We start from the raw sequence: 27,720 nt of genomic DNA, 5'->3' as shown, positions 1-27,720 counted from the left end.
CGTGGGCTTCGTGGCCCTTGCCTGCATTCATAGAAGTGGCAATGCTATGTTCAAGCACACCAGGGATTCCCTGGGCAGCATCTTCCCCCCACCAAAGCTGTGTGGGAAGCAGGAAATACTCCTAGAAAGAACTGCAATGGCTGTTCCTGCCTCTTGCAGGGGCAACAAGCACTAGCAAGTCCCTTCCCTTCTAAAGGAGAGAGAGGGGGAGGAAGAGAGAGGGAAGAGAGAAAGACAACAGAGAGGGGAGGGGAGAAGGAAAGTTTGGGGAGGAACAGGGACAGGAGGAAAAAGATGAAGAAGAGAAAGAACAAGAGCATCAGAGAGACAGAGAGAGAGAGAGAGCACATGCCTATCTAAAGACCAAATGCTGGCGCAAGTCCTTTTCAGGAAGAAAAATTTTAAAATGCATGAACTCTATTTATACCCTGAGTAAACAAGATAATTACGTGTTCATTTCATAAGTTGTGCCTTGATTTCAGATCACTAGTGACCATGAATGTTTGGATTTCATATAAGCATGTTTAAAAGCCACGGGTCTTGACCCTCTGACCAGGAAGCTAAGCTTAGTCAACACTTTTCACACTGTGATCAAGGCGTAAAGCGCAGAGTTGAACAAACTAACATTTTACTCTTGGAACTGAAGTATAAGCAGGAGAACTGATGAATCTGCTAATTTTTCCATTGTTCTTGCCTGCTCTTGACATTGGCATATACCCCTTGTATCACCCAAAGTACCTCTTTTGTATACATATGAAAAGAAAAACGCATATGACCCTGATGAATATAAAGGGTGTTTTTCTTTTCTAAAGAGTCATCACTTTTTGCTGTTACCTTAAGGCCAAGTTGCTTGTATACAGTTCATGCCCTGGCCTGAGAGCGTGCTGGGACTGCCTGCAATGCACCCTGTGCAGGCTGGACACTTTCTGGACACCCCAAACTTAGCTTGTCCCAATTTCCATCTTTCTTCCTGCAGTCACTATAAGCCTCAATCGAGAGAAAGGCAACAGCAAGTTCTGCAAGAGGCTGGTGAAGTGATTCTCTTTTATTTTTATTTTTTAAGACAGGATCTTTCTCTGTCATCCAAGTTGGCATGCAATGGTGGGATCTTGGCTCACTGACCCCTGGGCTCAAGCCATCCTCCCACCTCAGCCTCCCGAGTAGCTAGGATTGCAGGTGCACGCCACCATGCCCAGCTAATTTTTGTATATTTTTGTAGAGATGGGGTCTCCCTATGTTGTCTAAGCTGGTCTTGAACTCCTAGGCTCAAGTGATCTGCCCACCTCAGCCTCCCAAAATGCTGGGATTACAGACATGAGCCTCTGTGCCTGGCTAGGGTGACTCTCTTTCTCCCATTCCCACTTTCCCTGTGTCAGTTCAGCAAATGGTTTTCTAGCGGCTCCATTCTTGGCTATATCCCAGTGAGTCACAAATACCTTAATTGGGCACACAGCTTTGTTCACCGTGGGGCTCCAGCCTACACCTCCACGCTTGCCTGCTCTTATGCTATATCCTATACATCTCACACCTGTATCCTAAGTTCCAATGAAACAGAGATGCTTAACATTCTCCAACACACCTATCTGCCCTCAGTTTTTCCAGATTCCCCCTCTCTTGCATCTGCTGGGAATGACCACTTCAATTCCCCCTCCTAAATCTGCAAATGCATCTGACAAACCCCTGCCTTCTGCAAGAAGCTTCTCTCTTGCCTTCTCCCATCTCGATTGGTGAATATTTTCCTGGTCTCTCAAGGTCCAGCTCCAAGGCCAGCCCTTCCATGAAGCTCTTCCTGGCCTCAAAACTAGCCCAGTTTTTCCTCTCTTTAAATGATTGCACAGTGCTGAGCACAGAGGAAGTGCACAACAATTATTAGCTCCTTTATTATCAGTCAACAATTTATTCTTATTGCTTTTATTAACTGATCTCTCCATCTCGCCTGAGAATTCATGGCTCTCCATTGAATCTCGGAGGTGGCACTGGTTGTGTTCTACTTTGCGATGTGGTTTGTGATGTGTAGGTTCTTCCCGTCTGTAGCTGTAGCCCATCATTGCCTAGGATGGTGGTTCCGGGTAGAGTAGCCAGGCTCTGTGTATGCTTCTGCCAGCTCAGAGTGTACTGAAAAAGTGCGCACCTTACTTCCCTACAGGCAACGTCCTTTTAGGCTCAGTTGTCAGTTTTCAATGAATTCTCAGGTCCCCGCGAATCCACAGCCCTGGTGATAGGCTGCCTCCTGAGAAAACTCAAGGGGTCACAACAGCAGTGCCACCGAGGGTCATCCAGACTTCAGTGCTAACTGAACATACATGCTGCCGATGCTAGGTGCACAGAAGATCTGGATTGCAGCGCTCTGGGCAGGTGGGGAATAGGTCGGGAAATACTGTGTCCCCCTCCTTTTGTCAGCCTAGAGTTCCAGGGAGCTTGTCCCAGCCCACCACGTCATAAAGACCTGCTGCACGAGAGCCACGTCAAAGTTTTTCCTTAATTTCAAACCCCAATTTCTCTCACACTTTTTTTTTTTTGAGATGGAGTCTCGCTGCGTTGCCCAGGCTGGAGTGCAGTGGCACAATCTTGGCTCACTGGAACCTCTGCCTCCCGGGTTCAAGCGATTCTCTGGCCTCAGCCTCCCAAGTAGCTGAGACTACAGGCACGCACCATCACGCCTGGCTAATTTTTGTATTTTTAGTAGAGACGGGGTTTTACCTTATTGGCCAGGCTGGTCTCAAACTCCCAGCTTTGTGATCTGCCCACATCGGCCTCCCAAAGTGCTGGGATTATAGGAGTGAGCCACTGCCCCTGGCCTCTCACACTCATAAACAAGAACCAAGAACCAATGGTAAGCCCAACAGTCCTTTGTGGGGAGGAGAAAGAAAAAATCTTGATTTGGCCTTGCTGGAGGCTAAACCTCAAACATTCCAGGCCTGTGGAAGGAAGTCCTTCAAGGACCAAGGTTCTTGAAGGAGTAGGCTTGGCAAAGGAAACTCTCCAGGCAAATGAGTCATGGTGGGAGTAGCTGGGTCAAGACAGGAGTAGCTGCCCCTGCACGACTTCCTTCCACAGGCCTGGAGCCAAGAGTCGTAGAACAGCAGGGAAGTGGCCAGAATGTCTGCACCATGGACAGTGGAGCCAGCCCTACCTGGAGGCCCTTTGCTTCTTTGGAGTCCAGGCCTAGTACTTTCTGCAAAGTGGCCTCCTAGAGGACCAGACTGCATCATGCTGTTCCCAGCTGACTACCTTTACAACAAAGTGTTGAGATGCGGCTCTCATCTTCCGGAGCTCACTAGGAAAGCCGCCCGCCTCTGCCTGGAGGACTAGCACACCTCTGCCCCTGGCACAATTGCCACTGCAAGTATCTGAAAACCCTTGGACAGGGCCTTGAGAGTGGCAGCTCCCAGACTCAGAGGAGCTTTGGTTCCAGGGAGGCTGGGCCATGGACGATGGTGAAGTTGAAATGTTTCAAACTGAGATCCAACCCAGATCTCTCTTCCTGCACTTTCTCAACTGCCCGTGCCCCACTGTGCGAAACAGACAGACACCCGCAGTACAGTAGGACCAGCAGCAGCAGTGAGGCGTCATGGGTTAATGTGCCTCCTTTTTTAGTTGGTGGTGTCTATTTGCAAAGCTGACCTAATGCACGGCCTCACAGCTCTCGACCTCTGAAGGGCCAAGAGGGACACAGGAGCCTTTGTCTTATGTCAAACAAAAGGCAAAGTCACAGCGGAGTGGACCCTGAAGTGATGTGGGATGCCCGCCCCACCCACCCCACCCTGGAGGACGCCTGCCTTGCCAGGCCGCCCGCAGGGGCAGATTCAGAGTGAACGTGGCAGAAGAAATTTACGTCCAGGCTCAACCCCACCACCCACCTGGTCCCCACTCTTTGGAAGGTCCTACTCTGAGTGGCACATCCCAAGCCCAGAGAGAAGTGGCATTTCTCTGCACCAACAGCTGGCACAAAGAGAAAGACCTCCAAAAAGAAGGGTCCATGGCGCGTGTTTGACGCCTTCATGGAAGCCAGTCATTTCCACTTCACCAGGCCTCTCCCCGGATGCCCTCCCTCCATAGCAAAGCCCCCCAAATCTCTAACAATTGGACCCTCATTACAAAGCAAAAAGCACCATAATTAGCTCCATAAAGTAATCAAGCCCCATTAAAGGGAAAAAAATATGACATAAAGCTTTTGTTTCCAGAAGTGAAAAAAAGAAGGCTTAAAAAAAAAGAAAAGAAAAGAAAAAAGAAAAAGAAGAGAAAAAAAGAAGGAAGGAAAGAGAAGAAAATCCAGCAGCAGTAGCAGCATCAAGGATTCCAGAAAAGGAGAAGCTGTCGCCCAGGCACACAGGGAGAGTTCTCCCGTCGGGTGCCGAATGGCAAGAAGGGTTAAATTTATGTTCCATTACAAGTCCCCTTTTTTTTTGGTTTCATCTTCTCAGTAAAACACATAACTTAAAATGAAATCAAATATTAAAAATGACAGACTATATAAGTGCTGTGAGTAACTTCAGGTCACGGAGGGAGGGAAAAGCCGGCAAGTTGTCAGGCACTATCTGTCAGAGTGAATTAGAAACAATCAACAGAGACTGAAAGGGAAGGTGATTGTTATTAAGCAGCAGGGCTGTGAGCAGGCTACCCAGATGTGGTCATGCATATAAAGGACAGGAAACAGCAGTTTAATTCAGGAAGCCCTGGCGAACAGGGCAGCAGAGAGGAGAAAAGTCCTTTGTCGCTAATAAGCTGGAAGTTACTTTGATAACAGCAGGGTTAGACTCGAGAATAAAACACATTTCTTTCACTACCACACACCATTAATATCGCAGAAATGTGGTCAGAAGAAATGCCCAGTGCAAGGCGGGCTTAGCCAGTGGTCTTCCCCAGCAGAATCCTGGGAAGTCGGACCCCGAGTCCCCATTTCAGCAAACGCCTTCCCTCCTTCCAAGGCCAGGCTCTTTCTGACCGCGTCAGACCGACTATCACCTTCCAGAAATGTCATCTGACCAAAAAAGAATACTGATCGTGTTTCATTATTTCCTGGCGTCAGACACTCCCATCTCTGTGGCCTGTGGGAAAGGTGCAAGCCCTGTAAACAGCCTCGATATAATAAAGTCCATGCATGCAGCAACAAAAAACAATTTTATATGCAGACAAGGCCCGATTTCATAAGAAATTACTTATGCAGGCGTTCTGCAATTATCCTGTGATACTTTCAGGCAACAGTCTGACAGCAGTTGTGCAAACAATAAAGGGATTACAGAAATAAAAACAAATAATATTACACACACAGAAACTCCATGTTGCATGTGAACAGGATGAAGGGAGAGTACAGAAATCAAGGGAGCCGGGCAGGGGCCAACAGGAGGTGAGGCCCAGAGCCGAGCCGACCCCTTCCCAAGCACTTTCACTACGCCCAAGCTCGCTGCGTGGTACTTTCGGTAGAAGGAAATGCTCAGCAGCTATCTGGGGGCCTGCCCCGATCTCCTCCCCCAGCTCTGAAGATGCTGGGCCACCTGCTTGCCTCTCTGACCCGCAGACTCTTCATATGGGGGAAGCTGAGGTCTTTGGCTCCCTTTGAGGAAGGAGAAGAGTCTGGACCAGGAAGAGGTGAGCAATAGGTGGGCAGGGCAGCCCTGACACTTTCTCTCACTCAGCAGGTGGCCTCATACCACAGAAAGCATCTTGTCCTTCTGCCTGTCCCAGGGTCAGTGTAGGCCCTGGGTCAACTGCCCCTGTCCAGTTGCAGCCCAGAGAAAGCTTCAGTCAGCATGGTGAAGGATCAGGACCTCCACCAAATGAAGGGGAGAAAAGTCAGTGGATCAGCTACACGTGAGGGCAGAATCAGACTCAGAGGAGGCAGAAGTGTTTTCCCAAGCAGCCCTTACCCAAGTGGTGTGGGGAGGGGTCGTCCAACTGCCCACAAGGATGGAACTTGGCCATCCCCTCCCTCATCCCCACTGCCGACATTGATAGGATGGGTGGGCACCCTGTAACTCAGGTGCCGGGGAGACAGGAAGGAAGGTGGAACCAGATGCCTGCAGAGGGGCATCCTGACTGCCTCCCCCAGAAGATAGGGACTTCTGCATTGCTGCCCACATCTGAGCAACGGCCTTACCCCATGCAGTCAGGAACGGTCGCTGGCCTCCCTGTGGCGCAGCCATATTCAGCAGCAGGAGAACTCAGGGCCAGGAGAAGCGTGGGGCCAGGGACCTGCAATGCTCCAAGCCATTTGCACCTCATACACTCCAGACCAGGCTGTCCCGGGGGCAGCTCAGGGCCGCACTGGCCACTCCTTGCAGAGAGCCCTCCCCACACCATGCACACTGTGTCTGCCCCTGTGCTCAGGAATCACCAAATACAGGCCCCAGCTCCAGCCAGTCCACACACACACTTGTGTTTACACAAAGTGTTTTGAAAACTTGAATTTGTTACCAACAACAGAGACAAATTTTTAAAAAGAACTGGATTCCTTTTTTTCTGACTTTTAAAACTCCGAAAACCTGGACAAACTCGGCCCACACTCCTAGGCGGCTGCAATGGATGGAAGCTAGGTGGTAGTGGCGGTCCCTTTTGATGGGCCGGCTTTCCCCAGGCTGCTGTGTGCACACTCAGCTCCATGCATTTGCCAATTGCACTCTGAATTTGGGGCTATGACAGCTCCCCAAGAGTGAAGAGACCTGCCCAGGTCACACAGTGACAGGGTGGGCCATAGGAACACATTCAGGAGCAGAGTCCAAAACGTGCCCCAGCCTGAGCTGCTTCAGCCTTGATTGTCTTTGTCCAAAACTTTCATGGTCTGACCCTAAAATGGGCCTGCTGGAATCCCTGAAGGGCATCCGAAATCACCTGTCCAGATACCAGAAACTCAGGGCCAGCGTCCTGGCCTGATTGCATCCCGAGTATTGGCACAAGTTAGACTTGGACAGACCTTGGGTCTTGCCATTCCTGCATATCAGAAAATTCAGAAAGAAATGTGGATTTGTCATATATTTGGTTTGCTTAAACCACAATGCAACAAGTTCTAATGATTACAAGTTTCAGAAGCAAGGGGGCTAGTCAATCAACACAACAGTGATTGCTAACCACTCAGTGGGCCAGGAACGGCCCTAGGGGCTGTGAGAGCTACTGAGATGGAGAAGACACAAACCCCACCACCCAGACACAAGCTGGAGCCTCAGTTTACCACAAGTGGCCCCCAAACTGTCTGGATCTGCCTGGGCATCCCGGGGGAGGTGAGGAGGGCCTACTGTGTTCAGGTGAGAACTGAGCTGGACATAAACATAAATGCGTGGGTTCTGGTTCTGGCTCTGCTAATGATTTGCTGTATGATCCTGGGCCAGTCCCTTACCCTCTCTGAGCCCCGGCCTTCTCACCCATAAAAGGAAGGTGGCTTTGATCATAAAGGTTTCTGCTAACCCAAGGGTTCCATAAGCCTAGGAATGATCTAGAATTCAGGAGGACAGTACCACTTGGCAATAATACCTGCACTGCCCAAGGGAAAGAGGCCTAAACTATAAGCACCAAGACTCTTTACCCTTAAACTCACCCTGCGTGCATGATGACCCATGATGACCCATAATGACCCAGTTTCCCTGCAGTGAACAGGAGATGTCTGCAACTCCCTGAGGGTCACTCTTCTCTTCTGGGCACAGACTTAGCCAAACCAAGCCTCCCTGATCAAAGGAAGAAGCAGAGTCTGTACAAGGAAGAGGTGAGCAATAGTTGGGCAGGGCAGCACAGCTGGACTCTGTGGGCTGATGTGGGACCTGAGGTGAGAGAAGTTAAGCGGCCTGTGATACCTTCCAGAAGCCCTCTGCCTGTCACTCTCCCCAGGCGCCCACAGCTGGGAGGCTCAGGCCTCCCGGGGCTGCACAGAAAGCTCATGCCAGGGCCTGAGGAGCTACCGGGCCCTGCTGCTTCAAGAGCAGGATCCCCAGTGCTGCTGTCCATCTTTCTTGCACCGAAGAGCCTGAAATCCCTAATTCCCAGCTTTGGACAAATCACCAGCTCATCCCTCCAGAGGAAAACGAAGGCCACCAAGAGCCAATCCAAGCCACTCATTCCTGGCACCTAGGAGCATCTCCGCACCCGAAAAGGGTTTCTCAAGACACTCCCTCTGGTTAAACATGAAAGTTCACACTCATCAGCATGGCCTACAAAGCCACGCCTGATAAAGGCCCTCCACCCCACCCATCCTCTCCCCAGGGATCACTGTCTGGCCACGCTGGCCTACACGCTGTCCCTTAGACATGCCACGCTCTTCCCCGCCATGAGGCCTTTGCACATGCTGTTCTTTCTGCTCCAATGCTCTTCCCAGAACTTCACCCTGCTCTGGCCCCTCCATGTCCTCCAGACCTCTAGCTACCAGCGTCCCTTCCTTAGGGGGGCCTCCCCTGACCACCTACCCTCTCTCAAGTACAGATACTACCCCTGTCCTTCCCCACCCATTCTCCTGCTTCATTTTCTTATGCATTTATTGCTCTGTGATGTCATCATATCCACTGGTTTCCTTGTTTACTGCTCCCCACCCTCAACGCCCATATTATCAGTCCTCTGAGGACAGGGCCCTTGTCTGTCTTGTCCAACATTGTGCCCAGTGCAAGAGCTAAGAGTTCAGGCTCTAAAATTGGGAAGAACCATGCTCGAACCACCAGGTTTGAGGCAGGAAGAAGGGATCAGGCTCTGAGGTCAGGAAGAGCTATGCTCAGACCTGGCCCTCCCAGGTTTGGGGCAGGCCACTTCTCTGGCCTCAGATCCCACATCTGGAAAATGGAATGAATCATACTATCTACTACCTGCTAGGGGATTTGGGAGGATTAATTGAGATGATATCAAGAAATGCACATGCGAGAATGAGCTCCACTCTATCTTCTCTCTAGAGTTAAAATTATCTCTGATTTTGGTTTTCTCCCTGGGAAAGTGTCCACCGTGGGACCTTACACACCGATCTCATTCAGCAGCTACAAAGGAGTTTGCTGGGATCTTTTCTTCCAAAAGCCCAGAGATCTCATGGTGAAGATCGAATATGATGCAAAGCCCCATAGACATGTGCATGGCTTATCATCATTATCACATAGAAATTACAATTATTCACTCCCTCCTCTGTGCTCCCAAAGTACCACTCCTGCAGCATTTAACTAAGGTAATTACTGCTGCAGGAAGGATGTTGACTCACTCATCTGTACCAGGACGGAGGGGCTGACTCGGGACAGCCCAGCCCACCGCAGGATCAGCACCTGAAGTGCAGACTGCCCAGGGTCCCCAGAGTCCTGCAAGTGCCTGGGACACAGTTTGTCTGTTACATAAAAGGAGGGTTCTATAGGCTCTGAGTGCCTTTCCTTCTGGAAGTCACTGGGCCTCCCAACCTGAACATGAGGTCTTTCTAAAGGATAAAGCTATAGAAGGCTGGACAACCATGCCCTGAAATTCTGCCTCCAATCTTTGCAAAGAGCTCTCTGGAAATCTACATTGTGGTGGGACATGAAATCATTGTCTGATGTGTGTGATTTATTTAGTTACCAACGGTTGCCTCAATGTTTATGTAATCAGTGCTTAAGAGTGGCACTCTGGGCCAGGCACAGTGGCTTACATGTGTAATCTCTGCACTTTGGGAGGCAGAGGCAGGTAGATGCTTAAGCCAGCTGTCCGCAGGCTTTTTGGCATCAGGGACCAGTTTTGTGGAAGACAACTTTTCCATGGATTGGGAGGCGGTGAGAGTTTCGGGTGAAACTGTGCCACTTTAGATCATCAGGCATTAGATTCTCATAAGGAGCACGCAACCTAGATCCCTCACATTCGCAGTTCACAATAGGGCCTGGGATCCTATGAAAATCTAATGCAGCCACTGACAGGAGGTGGAGCTCAGGCAGTAACACTCAATCACCTGCAGCTCAGCTCCTGCTTGACAGCCCAATTACCAACAGGCCACAGACAGTACCAGCCCATGGCCCAGAGGCTGGGGACCCCTGGTTTAAGCCCAGGAGTTCAAGACCAGCCTGGGAAAAATGGCAAAACCACATCTATACAAAAAAAATACAAAAATTAGCGAGGCACGGTGGGAGGCACTTGTAGTCCTAGTTACTTGGGAGGCTAAGGCACGGGGATCGCATGAGCCCAGGAGGTCGAGGTTGCAGTGAGCCAAAATCACGCCACTGCACTCCAACTGAGTGACACAGTGAGACCCTGTCTCCAAATGAAAAAGTAAAATAAAATAAAACAACGAGACCCTGCCTCGTGAGTGGTTTAACACCATCCCATTGGTGATGAGTGAGTTCTCACTCAGTTGGTTCACACAAGATCTGGTTGTTTAAAAGAGTCTGGGACCTCCCCCACCCCTTCCCTCGCCGCCTCTCTCACCCTGTGATGCTCCTGCTTCTCCTTCACCTTCCACCGTGAGTAAAAGCTCCATGATGCATCACCATCATGCAGTTGCAGAAGCTGAGCAGATGCTGGCGCCATGCTTGTACAGCCGGAAGAACCATGAGCCAAATACACCTGCTTTCTTTATAAATCACCCAGCCTTGGGTATTTCTTTACAGCATCAAAAACAGGGCCTAATACATAAGACTCCAAAAGGACAAGTGTCTAGTGCAAAGAATCGGGAGGGCATTGATGAAGAGAAGCACCAAGAGTCCCAGCAGGAAACTCTGAAAGTCCAGAAAAGGCTCTGGGGCTGAATTAGCCTACTTCCAACCCATTCTTAACCAGCTCATCCAAGGTCCAGACTACCTGGGGCAGGATTCAACTTCAGGGCCCAAGAAGCCTGTGGTCTAGAGCCTGAAAGTCAGCGAGGGGCAGGGAGGATGGTGCTCACATGTTCTCTGCCTGTTTCTAATACCTGCCCCCTTTCTTGGTCTCCAGGGGACAAAATTTATTTTTGGATACAAAGTCTCAATCCTCCTTCCAGTTCATGTGACCCAGAAATTATTCCAGGATGTATATTTCCAGTCTGGGAAAATCTCCCTACCTTTATGTGGCCAATCCCACAGAACACGTAATTGTTCTTTATCTTCTAGGAGGCCCACAGCATGCCAGGGCAGTTAATTTTTTAAAATGCATGCCATGATCAGGTGTAGTAGATCACGCCTGTAATTCCAATACGTTGGGACGCCAAGGAGGGAGGATTGCTTGAGCCCAGGAGGTCAAGGCTGCAGTGAGCCATGACTGCACCACTGCCCTCCAGCCTGGGTGACAGAGCAAGACCCCATCTCTACGAAAATAAATACATCAATAAAATAAAATGCATCCCTCTGTGTCAGGGAATCTGATGAGGCTGGAGCTACTGTCTATTCTACAGAGTCCAAGAAGCCCATCCAAAGGATATCTGTGTCTCATTCCCAGAGGACACACATGTCCCTTCTCCTCCTCCCGCTCTCTGTGTCAGAGAATCTGATGAGGCTGGAGCTACTGTTTATTCTACAGAGTCCAAGAAGCCCATCCAAAGGATATCTGTGTCTCATTCCCAGAGGACACACATGTCCCTTCTCCTCCTCCCCCTCGGTCTCCACCCTGTCAGGCACCTGGGCAGGTAGTTCATCCTTCTCTTCCCTACCCATCCCGATTGGGATCAGGGGAAATGGCAGCTTTCAGCACCTTCTCCATCTCGGGAGGCAAGCAGAGTGGAATGTTCCAGAACAAACTGATGTACTCACTGCCCCCGGAGGAAGCCAGTCTTACCCTTCTCCCCTACCTGAGGCCTGAGGCATGGATGCTAAACTGGGCCTTCCAAAACTGTGAGCATCCGCGTGGCAGAATCCTCACCATCAATGTAGCAGCTAAATATTGTAAGGCTCCTAACTCCTCCATCTGTGTTTTGCCTCCCAAGAGGGAAAATAGTCTTCGCAGACATTCCCTTATCTGGCAGGCAGATTCTAAACCTTACTGGCAACTGCAGGCTTGTTTTCCCAACCAAACAGCTATGGAACCAAAAATTGCTCCTGCCGGCGATATGCTGTGGAAGGAACTAGCCAAACAGCTCAGTCTGGAAGCCCGGGGCCCGGAAGCCTGTGGGTTGTCACCATGCCTAGGGGAGACCCAGTGCTCTGAGAAGTCACCGGTGCCAGGGGGGGGCTGCTCATCCACTGATGGAAGCGACCACTGCTGGTGTTCGCTGTTCCTTTTTCTTAACACGAAATACACCCACCAAGAAACTGACGGAAAACACTCACCACAGTGTGAAATCAACACTTTCTAACTCAAATAAAGGGGGTAAAAAAAGGAAAACTTCCCACTCTTACGCTGCAGATATTTTTCTCCTACGATATTACACGAGGCCGTAGCACCACCACTGTCTCGTGCTCTGCCTTCAAGTGCACCTCGGAGCCCCAGACCCTTGCTTCTCAATTTATGGTACTTCCCTGAATTTTTCTTATCCCTTCCGATTCTTAATACCGGAACCCGGCACCTGTGCAATTGCTAATAAACCAATATCTGATGATAACCGTGGAAGCCTAATTGATAGAGGCTTTTATCGACTGGCCTTGATGTCTACCTGAGGTTCTCAACAGCCAAGATTTAAATGTTTCATTTTATTTTTAACTTTCACTTTTCCACATTTCAGCGATGTCAGGCAAAGAAGTATGGTTTTACTATCAGAATGAATCATGGTGCAGAATAATTTATGACTTCAGCTTGGGCTTTCAGAAAAGCTATTTCAAATCTTCACTTTGATTTGGTTGTATCAAAACTACTCAAAATAACAGCAGCACTTTCTTGGAACCAGAATATGTTAGCAGCACCTCAGGATTTTGCAATGAAGCCCCATCTTTATCTCAGAAGAAAACTTCAGAAAGGCCTTAAGCCACAGAGGAGAAAATAACATTTTTTCACGATCTCTTTGTGCCTCTTCCCCACCCATCCCCAAACACACCCAAACCACAAAGGAATACCTCCCCCATGGGGAAAGGCCCTGCCAGCCACCACTCACCGAGAGCTTACTGGGCAGGTACGGGACTCCTATCTGGGTTGGGGAGAGGGTACAAGGAAGCCCCTGGCCGGGGGCAGGAGACAGAGGAGCTATTTGGTTTAGATTTGTGTTTGGTCAACGCAACAAGGCAGAAGGAAATGAGGTATGTCTGGGAAGAAGAAGGAGTTCTAATATCGTAAGACTTACCTTAGCAGCTTAACTGCATACTTGTCTTAAGGACTGTCAGTCTGGTGAGAAAATGCCCCAGAAAGGATAAAGTTGGTGCAGGCACTGACAGATTGCAAGAGGGGGCGTCCCCGTTCCCTATCACAAAAGGAAATATAGAAAGAAATGATGTAAAGTGAAATGTAACAAATTCACCAAATCACAGCAATATGCAGAGGTCAAGGAAATTCAACGGAAAAGGTTAAAGATGAAATCAAATCCGGTGTATGAGAATGGAAATCTATCCCCATGCAAGGCCACCGGTGACGTGCTGTAGACAAGAAGCTAAATACTGCCTAGCACTGGGATCTTTCATTTTCATCAGATCAATAAAAGCTTATATTTATCAGGATTCCAAGCAGCTGCCACTTCTGACAACCTCCACTTTATTTTCTCACTCCTTGTGCTCTATCAGGGCAAAGAGGAGAGGAGAAGCAGCTTTTAATGCTATTTACACCTGAAGACACAATTCCATTAAGAGGTCCTGTTTTGTTAAAGAAACAGGGATTGATATGATTATATTGGCAGGAGCGGGAAGTCCCTTTGTTCTTCTCCCCCATGTTTTCCCCTTTGCAATCCAGACCCAGCAAGAAGATTTCCTAACATGAAGTCCATGTGCGAGCACTTTTTTGTTCAAACTTACCATTTACCAAGAGAGGACAGGCTTTCTGCTAAAACAGTTACCACTCTAATCATCTGTACAACAATATTTGCTATCAGGCATTCTAAATAGATTATCACCAGTCCATCTGTGTCATTATTGATTTATAAGGCTTTAAGCAGCTTTAGAATGGAAGCTTTCCCACTGAGGGGTTTCTTGTATAAATCAGAGCCGTGCTCAAATATAGCAGCCATCACTCAAGATATTGTTCTTAAAATCATAACAAGAAGGAGAAAATGATAAATTGCTTGTAATATACTGATCCAAACTGATATGCAAATCTTGTTTTTTAAATATATTACTTGAGTAAAAAGAGGCATCATTAACATATGAATGCTATATGCAAATGATAGTGACAGAGCAGATGTTGGCGCATGTAATTGACCTATATGTGAATTGCATCAGAACCCTTAACTCTATTAATTCACTACCCAGTAACTAGATATTGTCCAAAAAGTGCATTCTTTGAAACCATATACTGGAAGCAAAGCTGACAGGGTTCCAAGGATTCTGAAACAAGGTCACTGTCACTAGTATTTTGCTGTCATCTGCATTCCCCTTCTTATAGATGACATCATCATGTGGCCGTGTAAATCGATCACTTAATAGCATTTAGAAAATACTGCAGTGGGGAACAGGTTATAAAAAAAATGCCCCAGTTTTATTCTTTTTCTTGGCAGAAATGTCATACCTCTTAAACTGAGGGTTTGTGCATGAGTGCACAGTGAAACACACAGATGCCATTTTATTCCCCGTCTTTATTTTTCCACTTCTTCTCAGAATGACATTAAATTGTATTAAATAGCCTTTTGTCCACAGGGCACAGACCACCCCGCATATGATAATGTATTAATGCCCCACGTTCCAGCCACTGAGCTGAAACATTCTGAGACTTGGAGGATAAGTATGAAGCACCATTGTGTGTATAGCCTGCTAACAACTGTGACACATACTAATAGAAACATACCTAATAAATTACTGCTTTCAGGTCTAGCAAGCTGACATTTCTCTGCAAGGGACAATTTTATATTTGTGGCACAGAACAAAATTGCTTCATATGAAGCCACTGTGGATTAGCATAAAAATTAACACTTAAATTTCAGCTTATTTTCCACCCTCTCCTCCTGCCACAACAATCAATTCCTCTTATAAATCTGATTAGATTTTATGATGCTTATTATTCAGAGCATGTCTCAACACAGCATTCACAGGCTTGAAGACTATTTGTTTAAATAGAAAAAAGAAGCAGATAAATCTATAGGTATTTTTTATTACCCCATTCCCCACCAGTTTCTTTCTCATATTGTAACATCAGTAATTGATTGCACACATTAATTAACATGTAAGGTAGAAATTCTGCATTATGCATGATTTATTTTCCTATCTGGTGAGTAGGTTTGTCTGCTGCCCTTGTGTTTCTAGGACATTGGACTCGATTCTGGTCCAGACATAAATGCCAATGCTCATTCCCCCTGAAAGTTATTAATGTCAGATATGAAATGAGATTTTTGATTTCACCTGCTTACTAATCCACAAAAGCTGTTTTGAGTGATGCAGGCTTAAACGCCGAAATTTGAAATGATATATTGCTGTATCTGATAACATGCAAATATGTTCATTAGACATAATTTAGCAGGAGAGAATAGCAACACTTTTATAACAAGTCTAGGTCAAAAATGGTTGTTAATTAAACAAGTCATGAAAAATGGCATTGCAAGGAGATTGTCCGGCAGACACCAGACTTTCTAATGATATACCTCAGATAGGTATCCATTGGTTTGCACTAAAATGAATAGAAAAAAAAAACAACTTTCGGAGCATCTCACACAATCGAAAGTAAGGTTAACAAAAGTATACCCACATTAACAACCTCAGTTGAATCACATATTCTACTTAGATTTTAATGGTAACATACTATACTTCTCCATTTGAAGATGCGATATCACTTTCTGTCTTAGTGACTTAAAGTGATTTACATGGTTGACTCCTTCACAAATAAACCAGAAAAGAAATTAATATTATATCCGGCCATGCTGCTGGCTGCCCTGAGTGTTTATGGCTGTGTATCTTAAATCAAGCAGAGTAACAGGCAAAAAGATGGCTAGTTGGTGAGGGCAGGGTCGAGGGCTGAGGTGGATAAAGCACAGACCCCAAGGAGAGGAGGGTGTGGGGTACCACTTCTTCCTTTCTCTATAGTTCTTCTCGAGTGTACACTCGGTTACCTAGGGAACCAGTGTGTAGCAAGAACGCTTCTCATTGGCCATGAGTTGAGGTTCAATGTGGGTGGGACTCCGAGGCATAGGTGAAACAGGACACCTGAGCTTGGCTTCTTGGAGTGGGGCTTTCTGAATGCATGGGGAAGGACTGTACCTTGGAAGTTAACTCCAGTATAAGGAAGGCAGGAACATTTTCCACCTGACCACTCATTCGGCCTTCACTGCAGGGAGGGATGACATTCACACCGGGGTCAAGGCCATAAACATCTGGAACCAACAGGTGCCCCAGGCCAGCCTGCATGTGTGAAAGCCATTATGAATGCTCTACTTACCCAATCTTTGCAGCCAGATACTTGGAACACTGTCTGCAAAGCAGAAAGGGCACATAGATGCATTTGGAGCCCTATGCAGTAAGTAAAGTTGAGTGTGAAAACAAAATATCATCTCACTAAACCAAAAGAAGTCTGGACTGAAGCCATCTTAACAATCAACCTAGCTCCAGGGCACCAACTCAGCACTTGAGGCAGAAGACACAGTATGTTTCATCCTCACTCATTTGGTGGAGGCAGAAGGCCCTTCCCTTTGTGTCATTCTTAGCCTGGCTTGCACTCAAGATTATTACGATTGCCAGGAATTCTACCTTATCTTTGGATTGTGTTTGATTCATACACAATCATTTGTGCTTTCAAATATGGGTTCTCAACCTGTGAAACAGGTGCACTGGCATTCATTCTGCTGGCCTCTCAGGGATCACGTGAAAATAAAAAAAAAAAAAGAAAAGAAAAAAAAAGAAAATGGATGGAAACTCTTTGGTGAAAGAAGAGAAGGAAACCTTGGTCTGCATGGCACTTGGTACTTTTGTATTGCCTCCATGCCCTCCACTGCAGCTCCTGCCCTGCTCTGTGTGCATCCCTCATGAGACTCAAGACAGATAACCTCTCCTTGCCCTTTCATGTCCCAGCCCTGGATCTTGGACTCAACCATCCATTGCATCCCCATGGAGGATTCTGCCAGTCCTCAGGACTCAGGAGCAACCCAAGGATGTCCCAGGGTCACAGGAAGACTTGTTGAGGGGACCCACAGGGGTGCCCACAAATTATCAGTCCATGGAGAAAAAGTAGAGAGGGAGGCTCAAGGACCTCAGCACGTAAGGGACATTTGAATTCTACAGTCACGGTGGATGAGTTTAGCCTGCACCTCTCCCAGGCCACAAAAAAATGCCTCTTAGGTACCCTGACACTGTTTATTCAACTTAGTGAGCCTCTGCATCCAATCATATGAAAGATGCCCAGAATCTACCCTGGGTGCAGTTAAACCATTACAGATTCCTCCAGAAGCTTTAATTCATTTCTTCGTGTTTTATTTGTTGAATGAAGGAAGGAACTAACAAATGCATACATGAACAAATGTATGAAGAGGTGAATGAATGCATAAGGGCATGTATAAATGGATGGATGGAGAAATAGAAAGATGATTGAAGGAATGTAAAAAGTAATAAATGCATGAATTAATGGGTAAATGCATAAACACATGTAAATCAAAAATACTTCATGAATGGATGAAAGAACATCATTGGAATCTTGTCATCAACAAGTACACACATGGGCGTCTCCAGCATGCCCACGTGGCGGGTTGAAGTAAGACATAGGAGAAGACATCCTAAGTAGGGCCCCTGCCTGTTTGCTGTTTAGGGGTTTGGTCACCCATCTTTGTCTCCCCTCCAATGTTTCAAAGCACACAGACTTCTAGAAACCCTGTGGGGCAGCTAGGAGCATTTTGCAAAAACCCTTGCAGTGTCAGGAAAGGGGAGATAGGAATATTCCTATTTCTTCTGTCTGAATCTTCAAGAGGGGAGGATTCGTTCTGGGTGTTTCTGACAATGAGACCCCTGGCCCTGTATACCTCAGTGCAATCCTACTAGACACCAAGACATTCTTCCCGGGAGCAGGGGCCGCAGTGGCTGAGAGCACAGACCCTGGACCAGAGCCCAGTAGGCTCCTGCTGATAAGTCACATCCTGACCCCGAGCCTCCATTTCTTCATCTGTAGAATGGAGATCATAAATGAAAGAGCTTGGCTCATGGCCCTGGCACCCCATAAATACTCAACTTCCAGCCATCATGGGTGGATACGATGAGCAGTTCTGTCTTGCAGGCTCTGGGCCCCCTGTGGCGGAAAGCTTGGTCCCAGGCAGATATCCACCTCTATCAAATGTTCTAGCTGCCAGGCTGCCCAAAAAGCAGGCGGCTAGACCAGAGGAACCCTCGTGTCACCTTTCAGAGTATGTTTTATTTCTTCTACCAAAGCTCCACCGATATGCTTGAATAAAGACATTCTCTATTTTAAATGACTGTACAGAGTTGATCTTTGTAATCCTTTGATCTTCTGAGGAATTTGGTTTCCCATCTGCAGAATCAAGAATTTGGTCTAACTTTTCAAAAGAAGGCATACATGCGGCCAAGAATCATATAAAAAAAAAAAAAGCCCTTCAACATCGCTGATCATTAGAGAAATGCAAATCAAAACCACAGTGAAATACCATCTCACACCAATCAGAATGGCTATTAAAACGTCAAAAAATAACAGATGCTGGCTAGGTTGTGGAGAAAAAGGAATGCTTACACACTGCTGGTGGAAGTGTAAACTACTTCCACCATTGTGGAAGACTGTGTTGATTCCTCAAAGACCTAAAAACAGAAATACCATTTGACCTAGCAATCCCATTACTGGGTATATACCCAAAGGAACATAAATTGTTCTGTTATAAAGAGAGACATGTATGCGTATGTTCATTGCAGCATTATTTACAATAGCAAACTCATGGAATCAACCTAAATGCTCATCAATGGTACACTGGATAAAGAAAATGTGGTACATACACACCATGGAATACTATGCAGCCATAAAAAAGAACAAGATCATGTCCTTTGAAGGAATAAGGATGGAGCTGGAAGCCATTATCCTTAGCAAACTCACACAGGAATAGAAAACCAAATACTGCATGTTCTCACTCACTTATAAGTGGGAACTAAATGATGAGAACACATGGACACAGAGAGGGGAACAAAACACACTGGGGCCTCTCAGAGGGTGGAGGGTGGGAGGAGGGAGAGGATCAGGAAAAACATCTAATGGGTAGTAACCTAAATACCTGGGTGACAACTAATCTATACAACAAACTTCCAGAACACAAGTTTACCTATGTAACAAACCTGCACAGGTACCCCTGAACTTAAAACAAAAGTTATAAATAAATAAAATTTTAGAAAAAGAATAAAATTTGGTCTAAATATATGATTTGTCAGCGTTTCCTAGTAGCAGAATCCTTTTCCCGAGGAAATCTTCTCCCATATGAGCTGATAATAGCACAGTTGCTTTGCCCATAGCTGCGGAGAAGAACCCTGAGCCCTTCCCTTCTCCTGGCTCCCAAGGTGTCTCCTTGGAAACCCTTGGGGTCCCTTGGAAGCCAGTTTGAGAACCACTGTCCTACAGCCTTTCCGATGGCAGTGAATCTGTAACACTGTGGCAGCATCATAGTGGCATGGAAGACTTATCCTGAATGTCTGGTAGTCATCTGGGGTGCATGCCAGCTACAGTCATCAACCTGGTCACACTAGGCAACAAAGCACAAGTGCTGTACACGGGAGTTTGAATGAGACACTCTCCAGCCCTCCCGACTGATGCCTCCCGGTCCCAATTTGCCACCTCCTCCTTCCTTCTGCCTCCAGCTCTGCCACTGATTCCAAGCCAGAGGCCAGTCCCCTTTCAGGTAGGCCGACCTAGTCCCCGGGATGACACTGGATGAAGACTGCAGACTTCATGGATCTGTGGCTCCCGCTGGTGGGTCGAGCATGGCTCCCTTAGATGCATGTAGGAAAACTAAGCATCCGAGACTCTCTGCCTTCAATGACCTGGTCATAAGATGTCACTGGGGCTTCTCTCTCCCAGAAGGCAGATAAGGACTCATTTGAAATTTCTAAAAGTGGAGTCACTACATTTTTTTCTTTTCTTCTACCTTAAGTAGACATGGGACAGTGCTGACCAAATTCCAACCACGTTGCCTGCCACCTTCATGCTATTACCACATCTGCTTATACCTTTACCATAAACTGGTGAAGACACTTCTTGAAACTGACCACAGATTTCCTTAAATCAATGTGTGTCCAGTGGAAATTTTATATCCCAGTGCCATAAATAAAAGCCAGTACTTCTTGCCCATCTATGTACATAAAACAGAGACATAGCTGGTTCAAAGAGGAAAATGCTCAGCTCTGTCAAACCTGGAGTCTTCTCACAGGGCTGGGGACAGGAACAGAGAAAGGAGCTGAGTGCACTCATGCTGGGGGGAGCCCCCGGGGCGTGGTCCTCCCCCACTACTGACTGTGGACCTGGGGCATCTGACAACCTCTCCGGCCCCAGTTTCCTCATCTGCAAAATAGGGATGATGGTAGTACCTACCACGTAAGGTTGTTGCAAGAACGAATTAAACTAAAGGAGATCATGAATTAGTATTAATTAATTTAGAAAAATAATATGCCTGGTACCGAGTTAGTAGCTGCTATTGTGTTGCTGTTGCTGTTGTTGATGCTATATTAAAAGATAAGCCAGCAGGAGGCAGAAATCTTACAGAAAGTAGCATCCAATCTGTGTCTCCCACAGAAGGCTGACTCATGTGCCATTCACTAGACAAGCAGTATCACGTAGTGACAAGATCACAGGGCCAAGAACTAGGAGCCTGGGTCTGGTCACTAAGTCACTGTCTCGCTGTCTGACCTTGGGAGTCCCTTCTCTTCCCTAGCCTTGACTTTCCCAACTGTGAAATGAGGGGATGAATGCAGGGGTCTCCAAAGAGCCTTCTGCCCATGGGGAACCTGAATCCCCGAGGCCACCATGGGCCCAGCCTTTAAAAAAAAATGGCCTGCCTGCTCTGCTCCAGCCCAAGCGAGGGACTCGCTCAGTGAGGGCTTTTAAGGTGTGGCAGGCCAGGCCCAGCGTTGGACAGGGGAGACCCAAGAGCTGATAATTCCCAAGGCACAAGATCCAGTGCTGACTCGGAGAAGGGAATGAAGGTGACGGATGCATCATGTCCCAAGTATGGAGTCTGAGATATGGGTGACAGCATCCTTGTCTTTTTTTTTTTTTTTTTTTTTGAGATGGAGTTTCACTCTTGTTGCCCAGGCTGGAATGCAATGGTGTGATCTCTGCTCTCTACAACCTCCGCCTCCCGGGTTCAAGTGATTTTCCTGTCTCAGCCTCCCGAGTAGCTGGGATTATAGGAGGCCGCCAATATATTTGTGTGTGTGTGTGTATTTTTAGTAGAGACAGGGTTTCACCATGTTGGCCAGGCTGGTCGCGAACTCCTGACCTCAGGTGATCCACCTGCCTCACCCTCCCAAAGTTGCTGGGATTATAGGTGTGGGCCACTGGCTGTCCTTGTCTGCCAACTGGGGGCAGGCCCTAGGGGTGGGAAACCACAGGGCCAAAACAGGGGTGCCCCTGAAACCCAGCACCCCATGGTGGGGTTCTGACAGGGGCCCCTTCAACTACCTTCCCTGGGTCTCACCACAGGCCATGGCTTGCTCCCTCTGACACTTTCGCATGGCCATCTTGACTGTTACACCAAGCTATTACCTTAAAAAGGACTGAAATAAGTTTTTTTTTAAGGACTGAAACAGGGACGCTTTCAGGATGCACTCAGAGTTGGCCAACCTCTTGCTGTTTTCCCTCCATCCAACCCAGCATTCTGTGGGTGAGACTTCTTCAGGGGCAGAAATGTGTATCTTTGTCCTGAAGCAGCACCCAGTTTATCCAGGCATAGGTTACCATCTCCTAGTGTTTCGCATCGAAAGGTCCACTTGCAAAAGTTTATCTGTTTCTCAGCTACAGACAAGAAAGGAACGCCCTCAAAAATCAGGTGGAAACTATGGGACTTCTGTATGATGAAAATCACGCACATGCTATATACATCTTCAGCTTTTAATTTCACTGCGTGGATGTCATAGGGTTCTCCAGGGACTACCAGTTAGTAGCCCTGGAACACCTCTTCCTCCCCTTCATCTCCACCTGGGCACAGGATTTTTCTAGGTTTCCCTTAAGTCGGAGCCTCACCCAGGTCAAGGCCCCTCAACTGGAGATGGAGCAGGGAGCTGAGAAGCTTGCTAACATCAGTAAGTAGCACTTGTGATACATATTATGAAGAGATGCTCCCCCACCCCAGGAATCACTAGGTGTGGCTTTTGGACAAATATACACACATGCAGAGGTTTGTTTTGGAGGCGTAAACACACAGTCTCTAAAATAGGCAATGTTGAGTCTCTGGCACAAAATGAGGGTATGAAGCCGACACTGTTTATAATCTGCTGGAACCCTCAAACTTGCAAGCCCTTTTTCCAGAAACATTCATGTGAAAGCCTCTTTCTTAGGAAGGGGTACTTGTCCTGTTCCCAGGCAAGCTTGGAGGATGCTACCATAGAAGGGCTTATCCAGGGGCCCAAGGCTGTCCCCACCGGGCCGAGGGTGGGGGAGACAAGAGACCCAGAGACTGCAGACCCTGGAACACCCTGCAGCAGCCAGACCATCACCTGGCCTTTAGTGGAAGTGGCTAATGACAGCACTGATAAGACCTAAAGCACTAAGCCAGGCATGATTGAGACAGACACCCAAATTATCTGTTCAGGTGTTGACCTCTCTACCGCCTTTATTAGAACAAACCAGTGTAAGAAAACAACCAAAAATGTTTTTTTCTTACTTCTTTCAATTGCTGTGCTTGGCAACTTTATTGCACATTAGTTCAAAATAAGCTGCCAATAAAGTTGGATAAAATTAAACTCATGCTAGAGTTTTTTTCCTCAATAATTGTTGTTGGGTTGTTTTTATTTTCATAAGGATTCAAAATGCAGCATTATCTTAGGTTCAGAATTTCCCAGGCTGGGTAGTTACAACTTAACTTCCACTGAGTTTATGAATTTCAATTTCAGTTCTTTTAAAATGAGTTTGGTTTTACTGTTAGCTTCATACTGAAGAGGTCTTTGTAGCAGTTTGTCTTTTCCTGTACAAAAAGCGTAACATAAAACTGGAATCTTCCATACTGTAATTAGACTTAGAAAATTATGTGATGTCTAATTCAGCAGAACCTCAGCACATAGCAGAGTCCACAACCCCAAGTCCACATTTGTTTGAATACATGATCTCAAGAAAATATCTTTTTAAAGATAGCAGTTGTGAATGGGCCAAAATGATTCCATTTAAGATAGCAAAATAAATAAATATATAAATAAATAAACATCTTGGAGTAAAAATAATGCACTACAGCAATTTGACTACGGCAAAAATCAAACACTGTGTGTCGAAAGCAAACAATGGGAATTTTTATGCAACTAAACATTTTTCTGGCTATCTAACTATGACTTATACATCTAAAATGATAAATTTAATCCCATCACCAGTAGATCAATTGCAGGTATAACAGATGAAACCAGAATAAATCATCATATCACTGTACTGGAAACACAAAGAGAAGACAGAAGAGGAGTTTTGACTTTAAACTGAAATCTGTTTCCAGGCTTTTCCAAGGACAATTTGCATGGAGAAGTTCAATGTATACATAAAGTCATCTGATCCAAATATGCTAATGATTTTTATTGGTCAAATCTTAAAAGTGAGGTTTATTTTTATGAGTATGCATTAATTAACCCAGCATGTACTATCTTTCAGACTATCTTGCCAGGGACTTTCATTTCAACATGTTTATTGTGAAATGTTTGCATTCTCCACATTTGTGGCCCACACACAGATTATTTCATACTTTCCTTTAGAGCACTTAGAAAAGTTAAAAGGAGTTATTGTTTTTGATTAATGCCATTTTGGGGCAGTTAAAAAAAAAAAGAGTTCCAAATCCCAGCTCTGCATAAATTCTTTGACATTGAAAAAAAAATCTCTGCAAGTTCTACTGCACAAAGAGATGAGGGGGGCTGCCCTGGGTTTATTTCAAGGTGGTCTCCTAAAACTGAACTTTATTAACTTTGGTGTCTGCATGAACTCATGCAGAATAGCAAGGGACCAATGGGGTGCAGCTATCAATCACGAGAGGAGAAGCAGCAGGCACAGAGTGTGGTGTGGTGTGGCACAGATGGAAGTTCTAAGGCCCTGCCTGTCATCTTTTGATTAAGAAAAGGAAATGATTTCACTAAAAAGATATTCCCTCTTGTGTTGTTTTGTTTTAACTGAGTTTGTACTTTCCACCGAACTGGACATATTTATTGAGACTCATAAGTTACTTCACGGTTCCCAACATCACTGCAATCTCAACAAACTATTTTTTTCCTTGCCAATTATCTAAATATCAAAACTATAAAATATCTTAAAACATTCTCCATACTGTAAACATCTTAGCTACAAAGCTTTGAGTGTAAACAGTATGATGCATCAGAATGGTCTTAAGCGATGTTATAAAAACTGCTCTTAAAAACTAAACAAAAATGTAAAGCTTCCATCTGTTTTATGATTTTTTCCACTGCCGAACGGCTGCTGTGTGCCAGTTCACTGAACCATGGCTTGCTAAAGAGATTGCTGGGGTCACAGATTGAAAAAACAAAGAGCATGTCTTTAATGGTGGGATTTTTTTCTCGAGTCTCCCTGACACGGCTGGAACCGAATTAAGTGCACAGCAGCAGAAGAGAAGGGACATAAAACACACACACGATGCCTGTTGCAAGAGGAACCCTCTCTCTCTCTCTCTGAGAGGCTCACATCTTTTAGAGGATATCATTCCGGCAATTATTTCAGGTTCTTTGGTGACTGTATACCTGCAACCTCAATGCACTCTCATGTCCTCATGGAATTTTCTTTTTGGCCCTCTGTGTACAAGTTAAAAATAGACAGCAAATTGCATACTAAGAAAAAGCATTCAGGCTTATTTTTGTGTACATGTGCAGGTAGGAGATGATGATAATTTAGAGACTGCTGACTCTCCTCTGCTCTGAGCCCTGATCCACGGGGATGCGAAGGTGCCTGAGCAGATGAAAAGACCCCTCCAAGGTGCAAGAAGAAAACAACCCTTCACTAGGAATGTTTGCCTCTGAGATATATATAAAAAGTCAAGTAAGAAGGGGAGAGATTAAAATGGATTATGCATCGAGTCCAAGCCCTGTTCTTAGGGGATATTGACACCCAAAGCAGGGAGCACTGTAGGGGGAGTCCAGGGGCTGGGCTGGGCCCAGTGCGGTCTCCCCTCCGGGACCCGACTGACTGACATTTCCTAAGGGTCCTGCTGACACCCATCATCTTGTCCCCTGAAACCACCTCTGAGGAATGACAGCCAGTGTGACCATTGGATTTGGGCTTCTTGTGCAGGCTACCTGGCCGGTGTTCCCCCAGAGACATGGCCATTGGGGTTAAGGCCATCTCTGACACCTCAGAGCTAGGGAGACTCTGCAAGTCAGCCCACGAGACCAGGTTTGACCTGTTACCCTGTCCCCACCACTGTCCCTTAGACAGCAGACACTCCTGGAGCTGGGACGGGCGGGAAGAGGGGGTGCAGGGGATGGCGGCCTGCCCGGGCCCAGGACAGGATTCATGGGGAGTCCACCTGCCTTCCCTAGGATGAAGAGTGCCCACTGGTCCTCCTTGAGGAGGGTCCACCCAGCTCACCCTTGCAGGATACCCCCAGGCCAGAGGCAAACACAGATATCTGGGGCAGAAGGAGAACATTTAGGGCTGGAGATTCCAGAGGAGCCCACCCTGCTTCCAGAAGAAGGCAGCCTCCAAGTCGACAGCAACCACGCAGCCACAGCACCTGCCTGCTCAGAACGTGGCTGCTGGCCTCCCCACCTCCCTCTCCAACCTTTCCTCCACACTCCAGGGCTGTAGCAGCCCCTCTTGTCTCCCTATGGTGCAGAGATTTGGCAATGTCACCAACCTCCAGCCCCCAGAGGGCAACCCTCACCCTCGAGGTGGAGGTGTCCATCTGGGAAACCCATCCCAGCCCAGGGACCATCCTAGATCCCTGGAAGGCTGGCACAGCAGTGGGCAGAGCTCTGCCCGAGGGTAGGCAAGCCCTGTGTGTGCCACACCCTGAGACCAAGGGCATCAATGGTCCCACTCTTGCTCACTTGCTCACTCCTGCTGCCTGCACACCTTTCCCAGCAGTATTCCCACCTGCACCTCACCCAGCAGATGAGTGAGAGGCTCCTCGGGTGGGGTCAGTGGCTGCTCCACAGCCCTAGAAGCTGTTCTGGGACTCCCACTGTGCTCAGGGCTTCAAGGACCCAACTTAGACCCAGCCATGTGACCAATATGCCAGTGTCCAGAGAGCAGTCACCCCAAAGAGCACCTGGCCCATGGGCCCTGTGGACTCCGAGGCAGGCTGGCACAATTCCGTGCGGATTCCAAATTTAAATCTGGGACGCTCTCCCCTTTTTTCACTGCTCCAGAACATGGGGGAGGCATCTGCCTAGGAACAGCTGTCACCCAAAGGAGGCGGCGGCACATGCAGCTCTCCCGTAAGCACCACCGCCAAAAGCCACACATCAGCCAGGGTTACTTAGCTACGGAACTTTACAGCCCGGGGGAGGGAAGGAAGAGGAGGGACCAAGCTGACATGGAGGGAAGAGCAGGCAACCTGGGCTGGCAGGTGCTGCACTCTCACACATGCCACCAGCAACAGAATGGCCTTCTGCAGCAGGCACTGTGTCCCCACTTCATCCATAGGGAAACTGATGCTCAAAGAGGTTAACTAGCATGCCCAAGATTGCACAGCTACTAAAATAATAAGACAACAATCATATAATAACCAATAAGAACTAATACTCACTAGTTAGCATGTTAATCATGCTTACCATATGCCAGCCCCTCCTTGGTGGGGTCCAAGTTCAAATCCTTACAACAACCCTGTGAAATGCTATTAGCATTGCCCCCCTGCAGATATGAGGGAACTGGGGCAAAAGGAGGTCAAGTAGTTTCTCCCAGGTTAAGTAACCAGGAAGTGATAGCACTAGGATCCAGTCCCAGACTACCTGGCTCCATTCTTTTAGCCACTATACCACAAGGTCTATCACCATCATCAGCAGTAGCAGCACCATCATCATCATCATCATCATCATCATCATCACTATCATCATTGTCATCATCATCACCATATCATCATTGTCATCGCCATCATCATCAAATCATCTTCATCATCATTACTGTCATCATCACCACCATCATCACCACCATTATTATCACCATCATCGCCATCACCACCATCATTACTATCAACATTGTCATCATCATCATCATATTATCATTGTCATCATCATATTATCATTGTCATCACCATCATCATCAATCATCTTTATCATCATCATTGTCATAATCACCATTAACATTGTTATAATCACCACCACCATCAACATCATCACCACCATCACCATCATCACCACTATCATCATCATCACAATCATCACAATCATCACCATCATCACCATCATCATCATCATAATCACAATCACCATCACGATCACCATTATCATCATATCATCATTATCATCACCATCATCACCACCATCATCACCACTGTCATCATAATCCACCACCATCATCATCATCACAATCACCATCATCATCATCATCATAATCACAATCATCACCATCACGATCACCATTATCATCATATCAACATTATCATCACCATTGTCATCATCATCATCATCACCACCATCATCACTTATTGAGGAGTACAGTTAACACTTACTG

The 27,720-nt window shown here is 46.8% G+C and overlaps 1 protein-coding gene across 42 annotated transcripts in view, besides 1 other annotated feature; it reads right to left on the bottom strand.

Annotated features, from left to right (window-relative positions):
- Positions 1–27,720, bottom strand: part of ZNF536 (zinc finger protein 536) — a 487,995-nt gene that overhangs the window by 348,009 nt on the left and 112,266 nt on the right. For 22 of the 42 annotated variants that reach the window (XM_011527554.3, XM_047439779.1, XM_047439774.1 and 19 more), the window contains one exon: positions 13,094–13,210. The exons of the other annotated variants lie outside the window; for them this stretch is intronic. The gene's annotated coding sequence lies outside the window, so the exon portion shown is untranslated. The remainder of the gene's footprint in view (positions 1–13,093; positions 13,211–27,720) is intronic. 42 annotated transcript variants of the gene reach the window in all.
- Positions 12,949–16,186: an enhancer, noted in NCBI's record as "VISTA enhancer hs430". NCBI's record gives its function as "enhancer in: midbrain (mesencephalon)[3/6]" and the evidence as "EXISTENCE:transgenic organism evidence [ECO:0001131][PMID:17130149]".

This window comes from Homo sapiens, chromosome 19 (assembly GCF_000001405.40).
Source record: "Homo sapiens chromosome 19, GRCh38.p14 Primary Assembly".
In the NCBI taxonomy this organism is placed as follows: Eukaryota; Metazoa; Chordata; class Mammalia; order Primates; family Hominidae; genus Homo; species Homo sapiens.
Note: the sequence above shows the minus strand (reverse complement) of the source record. Positions and strands in the feature narration are given on the sequence as shown.